We start from the raw sequence: 19,010 nt of genomic DNA, 5'->3' as shown, positions 1-19,010 counted from the left end.
TACTCTAGTGAGCCTAGCAAGCAAATCATTTCATCCTTCAGTGCTGCCTGTGCTCAGGGAATGTGTAAAACCTTTTTTCATTTTGTTATAGCCTAGGTTTCCTCATTCTTCAGATCTTACTTTTGGTCTTGATGCATTTTAAATGTGGTTTTTGTTGTGTAGAGAGCCACCACAATAAGGTCACTGTTCAATATTAGCCCCTGGCTTTGGTTTGTTAGGGCTGCTTAAATAGGCAGTGGTGTGTGTGTGTGTGTGTTGTGTGTGTGTGCGTGCACACACATGCACAGCAGCCCCACAATCAATATTTATCATAAATAACCTTCGTGATCATTTTACTATCACCTTCAACCTGTGCTCATGGTCAGATAGGCACACAGATGGGCTGGGACTTTGAGCACCCCTTCTGTCATATCCTTTGGGCCTTTGCCTTCAAGACAAACTAGTAACTTTTAATGTGGAGAGATCTGGCTGCAGCTTTCTACACTTTACCCTCTTTAAACTCTTGCAGGATTTGGCTGAGCTGTTTTGAAGCAGGCATGACCTTGGATTTCCACTCCAAACATGGTTAATCTGCTGCTCTTGTTTTTATTCCTTCCACGAGCAGTTCTCTTGGAGGGACTGGAAGCATGCATGTTTCTGGGTAGCCTGTGAAGGTCTAGAGGGAGTTAAGTTGAAGTGGGTAATTATTTGGAAAGCTGTATATTCTCAGATGTTGGTGGAGGCTATTTTTATGTCCTAGGTGGCAAATTATCACTGTTATGTCAACAACACCCACAAACGCAACTTTGTTTCATGCCACAATGTACCAGGTCCCCCATCCTTCCTGGGCAGTGTTTTCCGATGAGTAGGTGTCACCATCTTACTTAGAATTCTCTCCCCAAGATCTCTCTCATGACTGAAAGCCTAACAGTGCACTGAGATTTTCTTTTCTTGTTTGGAGGTGGGAAGATGAAGGTAGAGTGAGGGGAAAAAGGAGATAACCCTCCTTATCATCTTTGAGAAATCATGGCTTTAACATGTATCAAAATCAGTTCCTAGCTGAAGACAATCTATTCAAGCTGCGTGAAGACCTTAGGGAAATGATAAACTATCTTCGTTCTCCAGGCTGCATAAACAAGGCCATATAAACAGCTGGCCATGCCGGGGGCCTTCACTATGATCAGGGAAGACCTGGCTGTAGTTGCATGCCCCTGGAGGCCTACTCCAGAAATGTCTCTCGCTGCTACTTTCACTATGGGAGGCAGAATAATTGCTGCCAAAAATGTCCAGAACCTGTGAATACATTACCTTACATGTCAAAAGGGACTTCCCAGATGTGATTAAGTTGAGATCTTGAGATGAGGAGATTATTCTGGGTCATCCAGTGTAATTATAAGGATCCGTATAAAAGGGAAGCATGAGGGTCACAGAGAGAAAAAGAGATGATGAAGGAAGCAGAGTCCGAATGAGGTGGCTACAAGCCAAGAAATGTGGGCCATTTCTAGAAGCCGGAAAAGCCAAGGACATAGGTTCTCCCTTAGAATTCTCAAAGGAACGCAGCCATGCCAACACCTTGATTTTAGCCCAGCAAATCTATTTCATGTTTCTGATCTCTAAAACTGTAAGATAATTTTGTGTTGTTTTCAGGCCTGAGTTGTGGCAATCTCTCATAGCAGTGATAGGAAACCAATGCATCCACCAAGACGGTTCTTGACACCCCAAGGGAGGATGAGCGACTCCCGAGAGCATTGTTTTCCCGTCCTCTCCTGTGGATCCTGGGGAGGAGAAGTGATACCACTGCCTTTGGTCACCTGCTGCTCTGCTCTCGGGTGCCTCCCTTGGCTCCTGAGCACAAGGAAGAGGCTGTCCTGTCATTGTTATTAGACCTCAGTTGCCCTCTTCTGCACCAGCCCTTGACATGCCGCCAAATCCCAACTCTTTTCCCCAGGAAGCAGCAGATATCCTCTCCGTCTAGGATGGCCAACTTCACAGTTGTCCCTAGCATGAAAGGGGGAGGAGAATGGCTCATGACTGTGTCCAGCCCATTCTTTGAAGTAAGTACAGTATTTCTAAGTGCCCCTTACCCATCAGGGAGGGCCAGGGTTAGAAAGCCTTGTCATATCCAGGAAAGCTTCACTGAGGGTTAAAGGTAGAGGACACTATGACACTGCCTCTGCTGCTTTTGCTCAGTCTGTAGTGCCTCTCCTCTCTCCCGCTAACAGCAGTGGGAGCAAGGCCCAGCTGACTGTGTGGCCACCTCCTTTATGTCTCCCAAGCCTGCCCCAGAAAGAAGCAGTACTGTTCAACATTCTGTTTTATTCCTTTTTTTTCCCCATTCCCTGGTTAACTCTTTTTTAATTTTTGTTTTTCATTATTATTGTTATTTTGTAGAGATGGGATCTCACTCTTCACCCAGGTTTGAGTGCAGTGGCATGATCATGGCTCACAGCAGCCTCCAACTTCTGGACTCAAGTGATCCTCCTACCTCAGCCTCCCAAAGTGCTGGGTGCATTACAGGCATAAGCTACCACACCTGGCTCCCCAATTAACTCTTTATCTAATTATCCCTAACAAGTTTGTCTTGAAATTCCTGTGTACTCAGATAGAAATTCTGAAGGCTAAGGACAAGGTATATAAAAATAAACCCAAGTATACTAAAGTTTTATATAAAGACAACTCAGGTTAGTATGTTACTCCATATTCTTTTTTGATAAGGAATGTGAGAACTTGAATTTTTCAGATATTATTAGTAAAGTCTCATCCTTTTAGAAATAAACCAGATTTACTAGATTGCATGTCTTTTCAGAAGACATTTTGTATTATTTTAAGAATTATTGAGTGACCTTGTTAAGATTTGGACTATCTGAAGGTAAGAGTATTAACATGATTCCAGTCTTTTCACATTTTATATAATTGTTCTATCATTACACTGGGAAAAATCAGCCAGGCTTTTCTCTGCTCTCTAAATGTATCCTTTAGTTAATATTATTCACATATAAATTATTGTTGTAAAATTTCATATAGAATATACTTCATATTTAGAAAGATGCTCTATCAGTTGCTCAGCAACCCAAATATGTAACTGTCTTTTGCCTTAATTAGAATCCTATTTAAGGTTGAAGTCTTGACATTCAGTGTTCTGTATTTCCAGTGAGGAAATGAAGTTTTATGGTTGTAATGTGTTGGCATGGTTCTGAGGCTCCAGAAATTAATATTTGCAAATGATATTCCAAACAAAAATTAACTCAAGATAGATTAAAGACTTAAATCTAAAACCCAAATCTATAAAAACCCTAGAAGAAAATCCAGACAATACCACCACTCAGGATATAGGCACAGGCAAAGATTTCATGACAAAATCACCAAAAGCAATTGCAACAAAAGCAAAAATTGACAAATGGGATCTAATTAAACTAAGGAGCTTCTGCACAGCAAAAGAAACTATCATCAGAGTGAACAGGCAACCTGCAGAATGGGAGAAAATTTTTGCAATCTGTCCATCTGACAAAGATCTAATATCCAGAATCTACAAGGAACTTAAACAAATTTACAAGAAAAAAACAAACAACCCCATTAAAAAGTGGGCAAATGAAATGAACAGATACTTCTCAAAAGAAGACATACATGTGGTCAACAAACATACGAAAAAAATAAAAAAGCTCAACATCACTGAGCACTAGAGAAATGCAAATCAAGACCACAATGAGATACCATCTCACACCAGTCAGAATAACAATTATTATTAAACAGTCAAGAAACAACAGATGCTGGTGAGGTTGCAGAGAAATAGGAACACTTTTGCACTATTGCTGGGAATGTAGATTACTTCAGCCATTGTGAAAGACGGTGTGGTGATTCCTCAAAGGTCTAGAACCAGAAATACCCTTTGATCCACCAATCTCATTACTGGGTATATACCCAAAGGAATATAAATCATGCTATTAAAAGATACATGCACACGTATGTTCATTGCAGCACTATTGACAATAGCAAAGACATGGAATTAACCCAAATGCCCATCAATGATAGACTGGATAAAGAAAGTGTTGTACATATACACCATGGAATACTATGTAGCCATAAAAAGGAACGAGATCATGTTCTTTGCAGGGACATGGATGGAGCTGGAAGCCATTATCCTCAGCAAACTAATGGAGGAACAGAAAACCAAACACTGCATGTTCTCACTTATTAGCGGGAGCTGAACAATGAGAAGACACAGGGAGGGGAACAACACACACTAGGCCTGTCAGTAGGTGGGATGTGAGGAGGGATAGCATTAGGAAAAACAGTTAATGTATGCTAGGCTTAATACCTAGGTGATGGGTGCAGCAAACCACCATGGTATACATTTACCTAGGTAACCTGCAGGTCCTGCATATGTACTTAAAATAACTTAAAAATAAAAATTAAAAAAAGAAAGTTGTTAATGTGAAGAAAGCTATCATTTTATTTTACTTCGGAGTCATTTACGAAAGAGAAAATAATGGTAATTTCTCGAATAAGCAAAGGGAAACCATTAGGACCAGACAATGAATACTCTGCACTGGTTGTACAGGCACTTATGGAAAAAGAGCCACAGGTGTCAGAAGAGGCCTTTCACTCCTGGGTGTTGCAGAATGCAGTCTGTGGGCATGTGTAAGCCAGTGACTATAAATATAAAATTACAGTGCATTAGCAGGGTTGTCTTGAATAGCCTAAATATAATTTGGAACTTTCAAATAGATGCTGAAAACAGGTCCAAAGGAAAGAAAGAACAATTTTTTTTTTTAATTTTGGTTACTTGCCAGTCTTTTTATGCAGGTAAGTCCATGCTTTCAGCATATGTCTAAGGCAAGTGTCTCTCTGAACAAGAATTTAAAATGCTCTTAATTTATCTGTTCAGTAACTGCTGTGATTAGCTGGGTGGAACCAGCCTGTCAGCATTTGCTGCAAGTACTATCATCTTCAGAGCCAGACTGTAAATAATTAATAAGTCCTTAAGATTTGTGTTTTATGTAGTTAAAAAAAAAAAGCAAGGTGAAAGGATAGTGATTTGGTCCTTCAATTTACACATTTTAGTCGTTATAATACTACCGGATAAATGCCCAAGGATTAGAATTATTGATATGAATATTTAAATGATTTTGCCTCTTTCTGGAAGCTTAGTTTCTGCAAAATGACATCAGTTTGTAAGGTCATCATGTATCTGTTAGCAATCAGTTATTTCTATCTTTCTAAATGTTTTAAAGACCTACTTATAGGCTGCCACCCACTCTCTTTTTGTCTTGGGTGAGTCTCTAGGCCTCAGTTTTTTCTTTTTGCCGCTATGGAGGTTGAACTTGGGGAGTGCTTTTTGGCCAGCTCCCAGAAGTAGTACTCTGTGGTCTGTGGCAGCTCGTCACAGCACTGTCTACATCTGACATCTCTTTGGTGATCGGCTTAACATCGGTACTTTTTTTTTGAATGAGCAGAGGCCAGAAAATCATTACCACCATCACAATAATAAAGCCCTGCTTTTAGATTCTGCCTTGTTGTAAAAGTCTCTTAATCCTATTTTCCAACAGGGATGTGCCAGACAGTTAGGAGTTAAGCACAGGGAACCCTGGAAGCATCACTGACACCAGCTTCCGTGTACCACAGACCTTACAGTCACTTTGGAAGCAACCAGGTTTTAACTACAATGAAGCTAAACTGCTACAGTTTGTGGTAGCATTTGCTGGAGGGGCAACCAAAATGCTTCAAATGAGGACAATCTTTTTCTATAAATATTAATTAAAAACTACCCGGTGTGTGATGTTCCCCTTCCTGTGTCCAAGTGTTCTCATTGTTCAATTCCCACCTATGAGTGAGAACATGCAGTGTTTGGTTTTTTGTCCTTGTGATAATTTGCTGAGAATGATGGTTTCCAGCTTCATCCATGTCCCTACAAAGGACATGAACTCATCATTTTTTATGGCTGCATAGTATTCCATGGTGTATATGTGCAACATTTTCTTAATCCAGTCCATCATTGTTGGACATTTGGGTTGGTTCCAAGTCTTTGCTATAGTGAGTAGTGCTGCAATAAACATACATGTGCATGTGCCTTTATAGCAGCATGATTTATATTCCTTTGGGTATATACTTGGGGTGGGGGGAAGGGGGAGGGATAGCATTAGGAGATATACCTAATGTAAATGACAAGTTAATGAGTGCAGCACACCAACATGGCACATGTATACATATGTAACAAACCTGCACGTTGTGCACATGTACCCTAGAACTTAAAGTATAATAAAATATATATATATATTTGTGAATATTTTCACAATACAACTGCATCTGTATTGCTGCAAAGGACATGATTTCGTTCTTTTCAATGGCCTAGCATGCTATAGTGTAGATGTACCACATTTTCTTTATTCAATCTGCTGTTGATGGACACCTAGGTTGATTCCATGTCTTTGCTGTTGTAAACAGTACTGAGATGAACATACGCATGCATGTGTTTTTATGGTAGAACAATTTATTTTCCTTTGGGTATACCCAGTAATTGGATTTCTGGATTGAACGGTAGTTCTGTTTTTAGTTCTTTGAGAAGTCTCCAAACTGCTTTCCACAGTGGCTGAACTAATTTACACTCCCACCAGCAGTGTATTAGCATTCCCTTTTCTCTGCAACCTCACCAGAATCTGTTATTTTTTGACTTTTTAATCACAGCCATTGTGACTGGTGTGAGATGGTATCTCATTGTGGTTTGATTTGCATTTCTCTAATGATCAGTGATGATGAGCATGTTTTCATGTTTGTTGGCTGCTTGTATGTCTTCTTTTGAGAAGTGTCTGTTCATGTCTTTTGTCCATTTTTAATAGGATTGTTTTTTGCTTGTTCAATTATTTAAGTTCCTTGTAGATTGTGGATATTAGGCCTTTGTTGGATGCATAGTTTGTGAATATTTTCTCCCATTCTGTAGGTTGTCTGTTTACTCTGTTGACAATTTCTTTTGCTGTACCAAAGCTGTTTAGTTTAACTATGTCCCACTTGTCAATTTTTTTGTTGCAATTGCTTTTGAAGACTTAGTCATAAATTCTTTCTCAAGGTCAAAGTCCAGAATGGCATTTCTTACATTTTCTTCTTATTCTTATAGTTTCAGATCTTATGTTTAAATCTTTAATCTATCTTGAGTTAATTTTTGTATGTGTGAATGGGAAGGGTCCAATTTCAGTCTTCTGCATAGGGTTTAACTAGCTATCCCAGCACCAGTTATTGATAAAGAGTTGTTTCCTCATTGCTTATTTTTGTCAACTTTGTCAAAGATAGATGGCAATAGGTGTGCATCATTATTTCTGAGTTCTCTATTTTATTCTATTGGTCTGTGTTTCTGTTTTTGTACCAGTTTTTGTACAGTTTGGGTACTGTAACCTTGTAGTATAGCTTGAAGTCGTGTAATGTGATGACTCCAGCTTTGTTGTTTTTGCTTAGGATTGCTTTGACTATTTGGGCTCTTTTTTGGTTCCATAGAAATTTTAGAATAGTTTTTTCTAATTCTGTGAAAAATGATGTTGGTATTTTGATAGGAATAGTATTGAATCTGTAGGTTGCTTTGGGCAGTATGGTTATTTTAATGATATTAATTCTTCCAATTCATGTACATGGAATATTTTTTTATTTGTGTCATCTCTGATTTCTTTCAGCCATGTTTTGTAGTTCTCCTTGTAGAACTCTTTCACCTCCTTTATCAGATGTATCCTTAGATATTTTTGTCTATGTGGCTATTGTAAATAGGATTGCATTCTTGATTTGGCTCTCAACTTGAACGGTATTGGTGTATAGAAATGCTGCTGATTTTTGTACATTGATTTTGTATCCTGAAACTCTACTGAAGTCATTTATCAGGTCTAAGAGCCTTTTGGCAGAGTCTTTAGGGTTTTCTAGGTATGTAATCATAACATCACTGAAAAAAGATAACTTGATTCTTTTCCTTTTTGGATGCCTTTTCTTTCTCTTGCCTGATTACTGTGACTAGGACTGCTTCATAATTGTAATATACTACTTGGCTGTACAGTAAACGGTATTTGCATAGAAGGACTATTGATGTGCCTATTCATCCAGTGAAGGATTAGGAAATAAGGAGGAATGGTAGGGGTGAGTGTGAGTTAAGTCTTCATCTACCATGACAGGATGGCAGTAGAAAATGTCTAAAATTGATAAACCAAGAAATATTACTATAAACATATTACTTAAAATATGGAAAGAGATATGCAGGGAGCTATCAAGAAGAGTTGATGGTGGATGCATCTGAGAGCTGCTGGTTCAAACGTGAGCTTTGCAATGATGGAAAGTTTATTTTACTAGTGGGAATATAAATTATATCTTTGAGAATTGCTTTTCTTTTCTTTCAGAAAGAACAAAACCATTTCTAAACTTAAATAAGTCACCTAGCCAGGCTGAGACTCATTTTCTTTCTCTGTAAAATGAAGGAGTAAATGATATCAGAGTAGATTGTGTAACCCCCTTGTAGTACCTAATTGCCTTATTCTGTCTTTCCGTTCAGGTTCTAGAAAGCAGACGTGGGCAGCGCATTTTCTTCCTTGTTCAGGCAGAGCAAGTTTTGTGGGCTTTTAAAGAGGGTAACGTTGTTTCTTAAATCACTTTCCGTAATTTAATATAAGTAATCTATTTATAGAAGAGAACAGCCACACTCCCTGAGAAAGTTTTATATGGCTTTACTTTTTAATTTTGCTTTTAAGCTTGGCTGCAATATTATTACTGAACCTGTGACACTCCACTTAAAATGTCAAATCCTTTAGTGGAGAGGGTGTTATTTCCTTGCCTTAATCTTTTTATACACCAGTGATTGTGCCCCCTAGACTAGCAAACAAAATCTGTCAATAAACTGACTGAACAGTTCTGTCCAATAGAAATACAATGTGAGCCACACATTTAATTTTAAATTTTTAGGTGGCCACATTTTTAAAAAAGGAAATAGAAGCAAGCAAAATTAAAACTAAAATATCTTATATAACCCATATATCCAAAATGTCATTTCAAAATTTAATCAATATAAAAATATATGTTTATAAATATCTCATTAGTAACAATTATTTAGATTTTTATACTAGGTCTTCAAATTCCAGTATATATTTTACACTTCAGCACATCTCAATTTGGTTACTAAATTTTCATTAGTAATACTTGATCTATATTTACATTTCATAAAGCTCAAGGTTGAAAACTAAATTTTCATACCTAATTTGTTTCCATGTGGCTAGTGGCTACATTAGACAGAAAGCTTTACAGAATATCTGATGAGTTTAGTTTACAGAATATCTCAGTGAATGCTCTCTCTTTAATACCCAAAATACCCAAAAAATATCATTCTCTCATAAGGTCAGAGGTGGAAGAGAAGGATCCTTGACTCTCCCTTCAGATAGGCAGTTTGGTGGTTTTCAGTAGCTGTGTGTAACTGCAACTATTTTTGTGTTAATTGGGCGTGAAAAGGTATTAAAGAAAAGATTCTAGAACTACTTATGCTGAATGATTCTCCTTTTTAAGTTAAAAATGGGAGGGGCAAAATTCATGTAATTCATGTTTTTGCATTCGCTGTTTTCTTTCTCTTTGTAAACAAATTATTAAAGAGTGATATTTAGGAGGCAGTGTAGTGTCACTAAGGCATGAGCCATTATAGCTGGTATTTAGGACATCAGAGAACTATGGAGAAAGAAAAAAGAGAGAAGTAATTTTTGGCACAGTCTTGGTTTGGGTTTATTTATAAGCAGGACTGAGACAAAATTCAGGGCCAAGCCATTTATTTAAAAGTTGATTCCAGGAAACACTTGTTTGGGAGTGGAGAAATGCAACAGGGAAGGAAAGGAGCCAATAAATCATATGTTATCAAGGAAGTAATGAAGCTTAATGCCACTGGGGAGCTCTGGGAAACAGTGCAGAAAATGTGCAGCAGAGTTTCACTAGCACAGTGAGGGAGGAAACTGAGGTATTTATACACCCACTTTTTTAGTCATTAGTTCATGGCTGCTCCTAGGTGGTAGCAATTCCTCCTTTCCCTTGGCCCACACCAAGTGAGAGTGATAGTCAGTGGTCCAGAAAGTCACTTAAGCAAAGAAATACAGGTGCTGGCAATTGAAAATCAAGACAATGTGCACTAAAATGTATGGGATAGGGGAGTGTAATGGACAGCATCTGTTATAGACACTTTTTGATTTACAGTGTAGACTGTATCAAACAAAGGACAGGAAGGTATGTTTCAGACCTTTGTAGCTTTTTCAGAATACAAACTCAGTTGCCGAACCCTTCTTCCCATCCTAGACTTGAGATCTTCCTAAAATGCATTCAATTCTACCTGCCCTAAGAATACTGATAGAGAGAATAAAGACCAAGAAGATTTATAGACTCTGTTCACTTACATATTAGTCTAAAAACCTTTTCATACCAATGGTTATCAGAACTCATCCCAATAATTTATGTATCAAGCCAAAGGATATGTAGTGTTTTATTTGGAGCTTGAGCTCTGATCCTTAAGAGGCCCATTTTTTATCTGCCAAGGTATATCACCAAGTTCTATCCTGTTTTTGCTATTTCACTCCTCAAGATATTAATACAGGTTGAGTGTCCCTAATCTGAAAATCCAAAATGCAAAATGATTCAAAATTTAAAATTTTTGAACACGGACATAACACCGCAAGTGGAAAATTCTACATCTGACCTCATGTGACAGGTCACAGTCAAAATGCAGTCACACGGCTGGGCACGGGGCTGACACCTGTAATCTCAGCACTTTGGGATGCCAAAGTGAGCAGATCACTTGAGGCAAGGACCTCAGGACCAGCCTAGCCAATGTGGAGAAACCCTGCCTCTACTAAAAATACAAAAATTAGCTGGGCATGGTGGCACGTGCCTGTAGTCCCAGCTACTCGAGAGGCTGAGACACGAAAATCACTTGAACCTGGAAGGCAGAGGCTGCAGTGATACAAGATTGTGCCACTGCACTTCAGCCTGGTCAACAGAGTGAGAATCTGTCTCAAAAAAAAAAAAAAAAAAGGCAGTTATACAACATACAAAGTTATTCACCATCTCCAAAGGAAAAAAGACTTTCTTACCCCCTTTAGCTTCAATCTCTTTCCACGCATGCCTAGATTCCCCCCACAAGCATGCCCAGGAAAGGTAATAAAATGGCACAGGTGCAGGCCAGATTCACCAATGGCAGATTCCCTGAAGTGCCCTACATGAGGCAAGATCTACATGCATTATACACTGTATTATTTTTGCTTATTCTTTGCTCTATGGTATAAATATATTGTTGAAAGTATCAAAAAAGACATGCAGTTACCTCTGTGGGTAACAATGATAAGAAAAGGAAGACAAATTTATGCTTATCTATAGTACAGAAAGCCAAGCTGTTGGAGAAACTGGACAGCAGTGTAAGTATGAGATGTCTTATGGAAGAGTATAGTGTTAGAATGACCACCCCATGTGACCTGAAGAAACAGAAGGATAAATTCTTGAAGTTCTGTGTTGAAAGTGATGAGCAAAAGTTAATGAAAAATAGAAAAACACTGCATACAGCTAAAAATGAAGAGCTTCAGTATGTACTGAGTGGATCTGTCAGCTTCACACTGAACATTGGCCGCTTAATGGTGTGCTGATCATGAAACAAAGATCCATCACAATGAACTGAAAAAGGGAACTGTGACTATTCAACAGGCTGATTGCAGAAACTTAAGAAATAGCATTAATTTTTTAAAGATTTGTGGTCATAAAGTTTCTGCTGATCACAAAGCAGCAGAGGCATTCATTGATAAGTTTTACAAGGTCATCGCTGATGAAAATTCGATGCCAGAACAAGTCTATAATGCTTATGAAACATCGCAGTTTTAACCTTATTGCCCCAGAAACACACTGACTACAGCTGATGAGATAGCCTGTACAGAAACTAAGTATGCCAAGGACAGAATCACCGCTGGGATGTGCTAATGCAGCAGGCATGCATAGTTGTAAACTAAAGTGATAAGCAAAGGCATGTGTCTTTGATATTTCAAGGAGTGCTTCAAGGTCTTAATTTCTTATCAGTTCATTGTTATTTTAATAAAATGGCATGGATCACCAGGGACATGTTTTCTGACTGGTTTCACTGATTGTTCCAGTGACCCATGCTCACTACAGAGAAGCTGGACAGGATGAGGACCTGCAAGGTTTTGTTAGTCCCTAACAATCGTTCTGCTCATCCTCCTGCTGAAAAATTCTCACCAAAAAAAAAAAAAAAAAGTCTGTGCTACATACTTCATTAATTCAGCCATGACCAGTGCTAGATCAAAGAAGAATAAATATAAAAACACTTTCTTGAACAGCAGACTAGCAGCAGTGAACAGAGGTGTGGGTGTGGAAGGTTTTCAAGAGGAGGAAGGATGCCATATATGCAATTACCAATGCTTGGAACACAGTAACTACAGATACATTTGCGCATGCCTGGCTCAAGCTCTGGCCTAAAACTCTGTTCAGTGATGATGATGAATAAGGTGGTGACTTTGAAGGGTTTCATATGTCGTGAGAAAAAGATGATGTCTGACCTCCTTACACATGTGAAAAATATCTTCAGAGTCCATCAGTAAATTGGAAGAAGTGCATATCAAAGAAGATTTTGCCATTGGTGAGGCTCCTGCTGTATATTCGTTGACCAATGATGAAATAGCCAAAATGGTTCTGAATCAAGGTGATTGTAATAATAGTTATGGTGAAGATGACGTTAACACTACAGAAAAAGTGCCTATAGATAACATGGTGAAAAACATGTGATGGGCTTTTTGAAAGAGTAAGGACTAGAGCAGCATGCATTCATAACAAGATGAAATCATGTTTGTTTATGAAAATCAATGAGAGCATTCTAAGACAAAAAACATTGTTAATGAGGCTGATGACTCTGGAGGAAACATTTTAAAAAGACTTCGAGCAGAATGCTTCCTCAACCTTAGAAAACCTACTTCCTGGTTCCTCAACTACTTGTGATATTCTGTCTCACCTTAAAAAATCAAATACAATGCACTATAACCTTTTAAACAAAACACAGCATCACAGGTGGAGACCAAAGTCCTGCTTTTGTTTGTTGCTGCTATTTAACAGCTGATACAGGCACCTAGTGATGCTACTGTGCTGCTTAGTTACCCCAAACACATTATTTTTTCTCTGTATCGATGGTATGTCATGTTTTTTATTGTGAAGTACCTATGTGTGAATAAGTATTAAAAAATTATTGCTTTTTGGTAGCATATAAATTCGAAGTCAGGAATGATGGTGGTGCCAAACAACCACAGGTTGTCCAAGTGAGTGGCCTAGATAGTGACACCTTTGCTTTCTGATAGTTCAGTGTACACAAATTTTATTTCATGCCAAAAGTTACTAAAAGTATTATGTAAAATTACCTTCAGACTATTTGTATAAAGTGTATATGAAACATAAATGAATTTTGAGTTTATACTTGGGTTCTATCGCCAAGATGTCTCATTATGTATATGCAAATCTTTCAAAATCTGAAAAATTCCAAAATCTGAAACACTTCTGGTCCCAATCATGTCAAATAAGGATACTCAACCTGTAGTTGGTCTTTTAACTTGACCTTAATACTTGTTGAATTTATAGTATACGTCATCTTACTATAGGGAAAACTATATGGGGATTTCCAGCTTCTAGAAACCAAAATAGTAAACTTTAATTGGCCTTAAAAACAGGGATTTTCCAATCTGAGCCTTTAATAAAGGAATCTCTCACTTCTACTTTCAAAGACTGCTGAAGACAAGTTGTTGAATACTTACACGTAGAAATTATTAAGCAAGTAAAAGTAATGAGACAGTTGGTAATTATACAGTAAATTGGGAATTTCCAGATAACTTCTGCCAAACAAATAACCAAAAATTTTTGAGAAGAGGTATGTATTAGTCTGTTCTCATGCTCTATAACGAACTGCCTGAGACTGGTAATTTATAAAGGAAAGACATTTAATTGACTCAGTTCCATAGGGCTGGGGAGGCCTCAGGAAACTTACAATCATGCGGAAGGGGAAGCAAACACGTTCTTCACATGGCAGCAGGAAGGAGAAGAATGAGAGCTGAGCAAAGGGGGAAGCCCCTTTAAAAGCATCAGATCTCATAAGAACTTGCTATCACAAGAATAGTGTGGGGGAAACTGCCCACATGATTCAACTACCTCCCACCCAGCTCCTCCCACTACACATGGGGACTATGGGAACTATAATTCAAGATGAGATCTGGGGGCAGGGGGACACAGCCAAACCATATCAAGGTGCTTCATCTATATTTTCCCATTCCAATGGTACAGAATAGTGTATCATAAATATCTAGAAGTTCATTAGATCCATGATACTGTGATTGTTTTTTAATTGTAATTCTAGGTTCTTGCCATGTATTGTTAAAAATAGCCTAAAGGGGATCGGGCATGGTGGCTTATGCCTATAATCCCAGCACTTTGAGAGGCCAAGACAAGCAGATCACCCGAGGTCAGGAATTCGAGACCAGCATGGCCAACATAGTGAAACCCCATCTTCCCTAAAAATACAAAAATTAGCTGGGCATGGTGGCACAAGCCTGTAGTCCCAGCACCCCAGAAGGCTAAGACAGGAGAATCACTTGAACCCAGGAGGCAGAAGTTGCGGTGACCCAAGATCATGCCACTGCACTTCAGCCTGGGTGACAAAGCGAGACTCCGTCAAAAAAAAGAAAAAAAATGAAATAGCCTTAAGGGGATTCATTGTGATTTTTCCCAGTAGTTCAAAGCAAAATAAAACACAATTGCATGTTTTCTTTTATTATGTGAGTTTCAGACTAAAAATTACACAATTTTTATTTTTCACTACCTTAAGAGAGTAATATGAATTGAACCATTAATTGCTAACCCAGTTATTCATTTTTTACTTTGAAGATTGATTTTGCATTCATCAGCCTTCGAGTTTCCGTTCATTGACCAAAACAGGTGGAAAGTTTACCTTTTAACGTTGCAGAAATGGCAACTTGCCCAGTTTGGGCTTCATGGTCCCCAGCTGTTTTCAGAGGTCCCTACAATATCCAGGTGCTCTCAGTTGTCCATAAGCTCATCCTTGTCCCTGGACCCCAGTGGAAGCCAAGGTTAGTGTGCTCCTTCCCACTCTGCCTCCTTTGGTCTAAATGCAGGTTTCATACTATCTAGAATGCTCTAAGTATTTATTTGATAAATGTTGATGATGATAATAATAACTGTTAATACTTACTGAATGTAATGTGTGTTCTAGGTTCTTTGTGTGCATTCTTTCATTTAATCCTTACTCAGCCCTTTTGTTTTGGTACATTTCATATGAGAGTGTGAAAATAATGAACCTGAAGCTTCAAGGTTTAATAAGTCTTCCAAAGTCACCCAGCTAGAAGTTATGGTAAATGATTCTGCTATTTAATTTCATTTATGATATTATTATCAAGATTGAAATGCTGGGAAATTTTGGTCTCTCATAGTCTCCTATACTGTGATTCCACTAGTCTGCTCCTTAATGAGACTTACATGTACAGTTGAACCTTGAACAACAACGGTTTGGTCTGTTTACATGCAGATTTTTTCCAGTCAAATTCAGATTGAAAATAGAGTATTCCTGAGATGTGAAACCTGCATATACAGAGAGGCTACTTTTTGTATACACAGGTTCCTCAGGGCCAATTGCGGGCCTACTGAGTATGGGCAGATTTTGGTATATGTGGGGGTCCTGGAAGCAATTCCTTGCATACACCAAAGAACGACTATATATTGTTTTTTGTCCAGCAAAAATTAGAATTTAATATATTTTATATATAAGCAGAAAGTTATTTCAGCATTATTATTTGCTCTAATAGAAACTGACTTTAATGAAAATGGAATTATTGTAAAATCAATTTAGTATTCTATGATTTGTTTCATTTCAGCCTGGACTCTATCATATTATTTTTAGCCATTTGAAATGCTCACAGAACTAGCAGCAAGTTATTTTTTAAGACTGATTTACTGAATATTTTCTAAGAAAACCCTACAGGTGAATCTCTAAATACAATGCCTTATTCTATATTCATCACTCCCCATACAGTTATCACAAATTCATAAATAATTCTGTATTCATCACTCAATAATGTAATAAGTCAACCTTCAATAAATAATTCTGTATTCATCACTCAATAATGTAATAAGTCAACCTTCAATAATTCAATAATTCTTATTCTACATTTATCACTCACCCTACAGTTACCACAAATTCATAAATAATTCTATACACTTGTAGAATAGGAATGTCTACAAACTTTCAAAAAAGTATGAGTCATTGATCACCTCAAGTATAGCTGAGGAATTGACATCAGTGAGATAATTGTTACTAGAGCCATTCTAAGGAAAATAAAATTGGCTATTGTTAGCATCTCCTTTAAATATGTTTTTAAATTCTGTAACAGTTAGCTCTAACTGTAATGACAAATCTACACTGAGAGGATCTGTTGTGAAATTACAATGCACTTCAGGAACATCAGCATTTGACATATTTCAAGTTGGCAGCAGAGTCTTGGGGGAGCACAGATTAACCAGTGTTCATTCAGCAACTTATATGAGCCTTACATATTTTGAGCTTGCAGGTCTTCTGGAGAAATCAAGTCAGTTGGTTGGCTCTACAGGTTATCAATTTGGTTGCTGAATGATACATTTTCAAACTCCTAAATTAGTCCTATCAATTTAAGTTTTTATCTCTTGGGAACTATTTTTATTGTTCAGACTAAGATTGTCTTCCAGACAGCACACTCCCCATCTTCAACAAGTATGGTAATACCATGAGTTTCAGGAAAGATACATATTTCAGGATAGTACTAACTTCTCCCTAGTGTAGAAAAGCGGATAGAACACACTTTGGAGCCATATGGAATGACTGCTTATTCATGGTCTAGGATGACTTTGGAATCGTATGTGCAAGGCAGAGAGCAATAATTTAGTGTAATATGGATATTCTTTTCTGAAATGTATGAAAACGCTAATGGCGAATTCGAATGTGAATTCAAATAAGTTGATTGAAGTAAAATTAAATTATAGACCACCTAAGAAATTACATGGGAGTATATGAGAGGTTCAGTGACTCTGGTTGGGAATTCAGAAGACCTGGATTCATTTTTGTGTGTGTCACTACCTGGTTATATAATATGGACGTAAAGTGCAGAAAATTCAAACCAAACCACTTTAAGCAAAATAACTGCAAAACCCAAAGGTAGACTGACTTCAGATGTGGCTTGATCAAGGCTCAAATCATGTCATCAGGTTATTTATGGCTCTCCTCTTTCATTGCCAGCTCTCTTCTTGGAATTTTCGTCTCATGGATTGAAAGTGACTCTCACAACCACAGATGCTCCAGTTTAAGACCAAAAGAAGGCCTTTGCTTCGTTATAACTCAAATAAAATTCTTATGTGCCCTGCCCCTACCTGAGCAGTAGTGACTGTGACAGGTGAGGGAATCATACTGATTGGATTAGGTCATTATAGTAGAGGGAAATTGGACTGAATTGTAACAAGAGAAGGAGGCACAGATGCAGGCTGATTTGTGTATTTGGCAGTGGTAAGACAACAGTAATGGTACTAATAAAAGTTAACATCTACTTAGTGGGTTCTGTATGGAAAGCCCTGTGCCAAATAATCCATTGTGAATTATCTCATTTAATAATAGGACAGGATATTTGCCTCTTGTGGGTATTTTTTCTCAACGACTTCTGTGGTAACATCACTGATTTAGAATGTGGGTGGGAGGGGGTGTGGGAGGTTCCCGGAGAGACATAAAGGTATGAGGTCATCATTTGGACAAAGGGGGAGTGAGTCCAAAATAGAGGAAAGCAGGGTGATAGCAGGTGTTCAACTGAGGATAGTGATCATAAATTTCAAGTGAAAAAAAGGTGACTTGTGAGATTTCCCTCTTAGCAATGTTCACATGAAGAGGTGGAAGCATAGAAAAAGCAAATTTTGTAGGGCAGGTTCCATGGAGAAATAGAAGTGCAGGGGAGCTAAGGGTATTTTAAGAAGAGTTTATAATGGTGGATCATGGAATGTGGGCTGGTAGGGAGAGAAGGGAGGCCAGGAGAGGGTTGATGGATAGAAAGTAGAGGGGAGTAATAGGGTGGGCATGACTGAGCAAAGAGATCTGGAAGAAGAGGAAGTGGCACTGGAAAATGACGTCTTTGAAGTCAGCATTCCAGAGGTGGTGCACTTTCTAGTGCTGACAAGGTCCAGGATACAACAGTGGGAATGTGTGTCTAGGGAGCAATGGAGGCAAAGGTCAACAGGGAGGAAAGGAGCAAGCAATGGACAGGCTCGAGTACTGGCTGGGTCATCCTCGCAAACACTGAGATTCTGATTTGAGGAGGATGAATATTGTGAGCTAGGAGTTAACTGAGGGAAAGAGGAGATAACAGGAGGTTGGCAGATGGTGGCAAGGAGAGATGGGACAAGGTTGTAAATCCAAGTGAAAAGAATCTCAAAAGATGAGTGGCTTTTGAAGGAGGATGTGATGGGGCTAGAAGTAATGATCTGGAGATACAAGATAGAGCACACTCAGCAAACCATCTTCTGGTGCTGAGGCATGTGGAATGAATGGGGCTTAATAAAAATAAATTTAATTTAAAAAATTCTTTCCTTCACCGTAATGCAGAGAAATCAGTGTCTTCATAGGAAAGCCGAACCAATCAAAGCAAGAAGGTTAAGGATCAAGGAACTGAAGGGATTATTCTAACACCAGGGCTGTTAGGGAATTTGTTAACTAGAGGCTTAAATTTCTAAGAGTCACATAGGAAGGGTTTGAAAAAGGAAATTATGTTGGATTCGATGATCGAATGAGGATCTGAGTGAGAACTCATGACATAGAAGGCCGGAACTTCAGCAATGCCTCAGGCAAAAGGTACATGGGGTCATCTGAGAGGAGGGTGAGAAGCCAGTAATACTGCAGAGAGCCTGCCCTCATGGGAAGCCTCATTGGTTGTTTCTTGGTGCTTGGGGCTGTCTAAACATACTCAACTCTGTTCTGGATCTTC

General features: G+C 38.4%; 1 protein-coding gene across 7 annotated transcripts in view; it reads left to right on the top strand.

Annotated features, from left to right (window-relative positions):
• The window catches only part of RNF150 (ring finger protein 150), a 353,094-nt gene that overhangs the window by 218,163 nt on the left and 115,921 nt on the right, over positions 1-19,010 (top strand). The window contains exon 1 of one of the 7 annotated variants that reach the window (XM_017008476.1): positions 17,417-17,438. The exons of the other annotated variants lie outside the window; for them this stretch is intronic. The gene's annotated coding sequence lies outside the window, so the exon portion shown is untranslated. Of the gene's footprint in view, positions 1-17,416; positions 17,439-19,010 lie in introns of those variants that run through there. 7 annotated transcript variants of the gene reach the window in all.

Source organism: Homo sapiens, chromosome 4, assembly GCF_000001405.40.
Source record: "Homo sapiens chromosome 4, GRCh38.p14 Primary Assembly".
Lineage (NCBI taxonomy): Eukaryota > Metazoa > Chordata > Mammalia > Primates > Hominidae > Homo > Homo sapiens.
The sequence above is the reverse complement of the archived record's forward strand: the minus strand, read 5'-3'. Positions and strand labels throughout refer to the sequence as shown.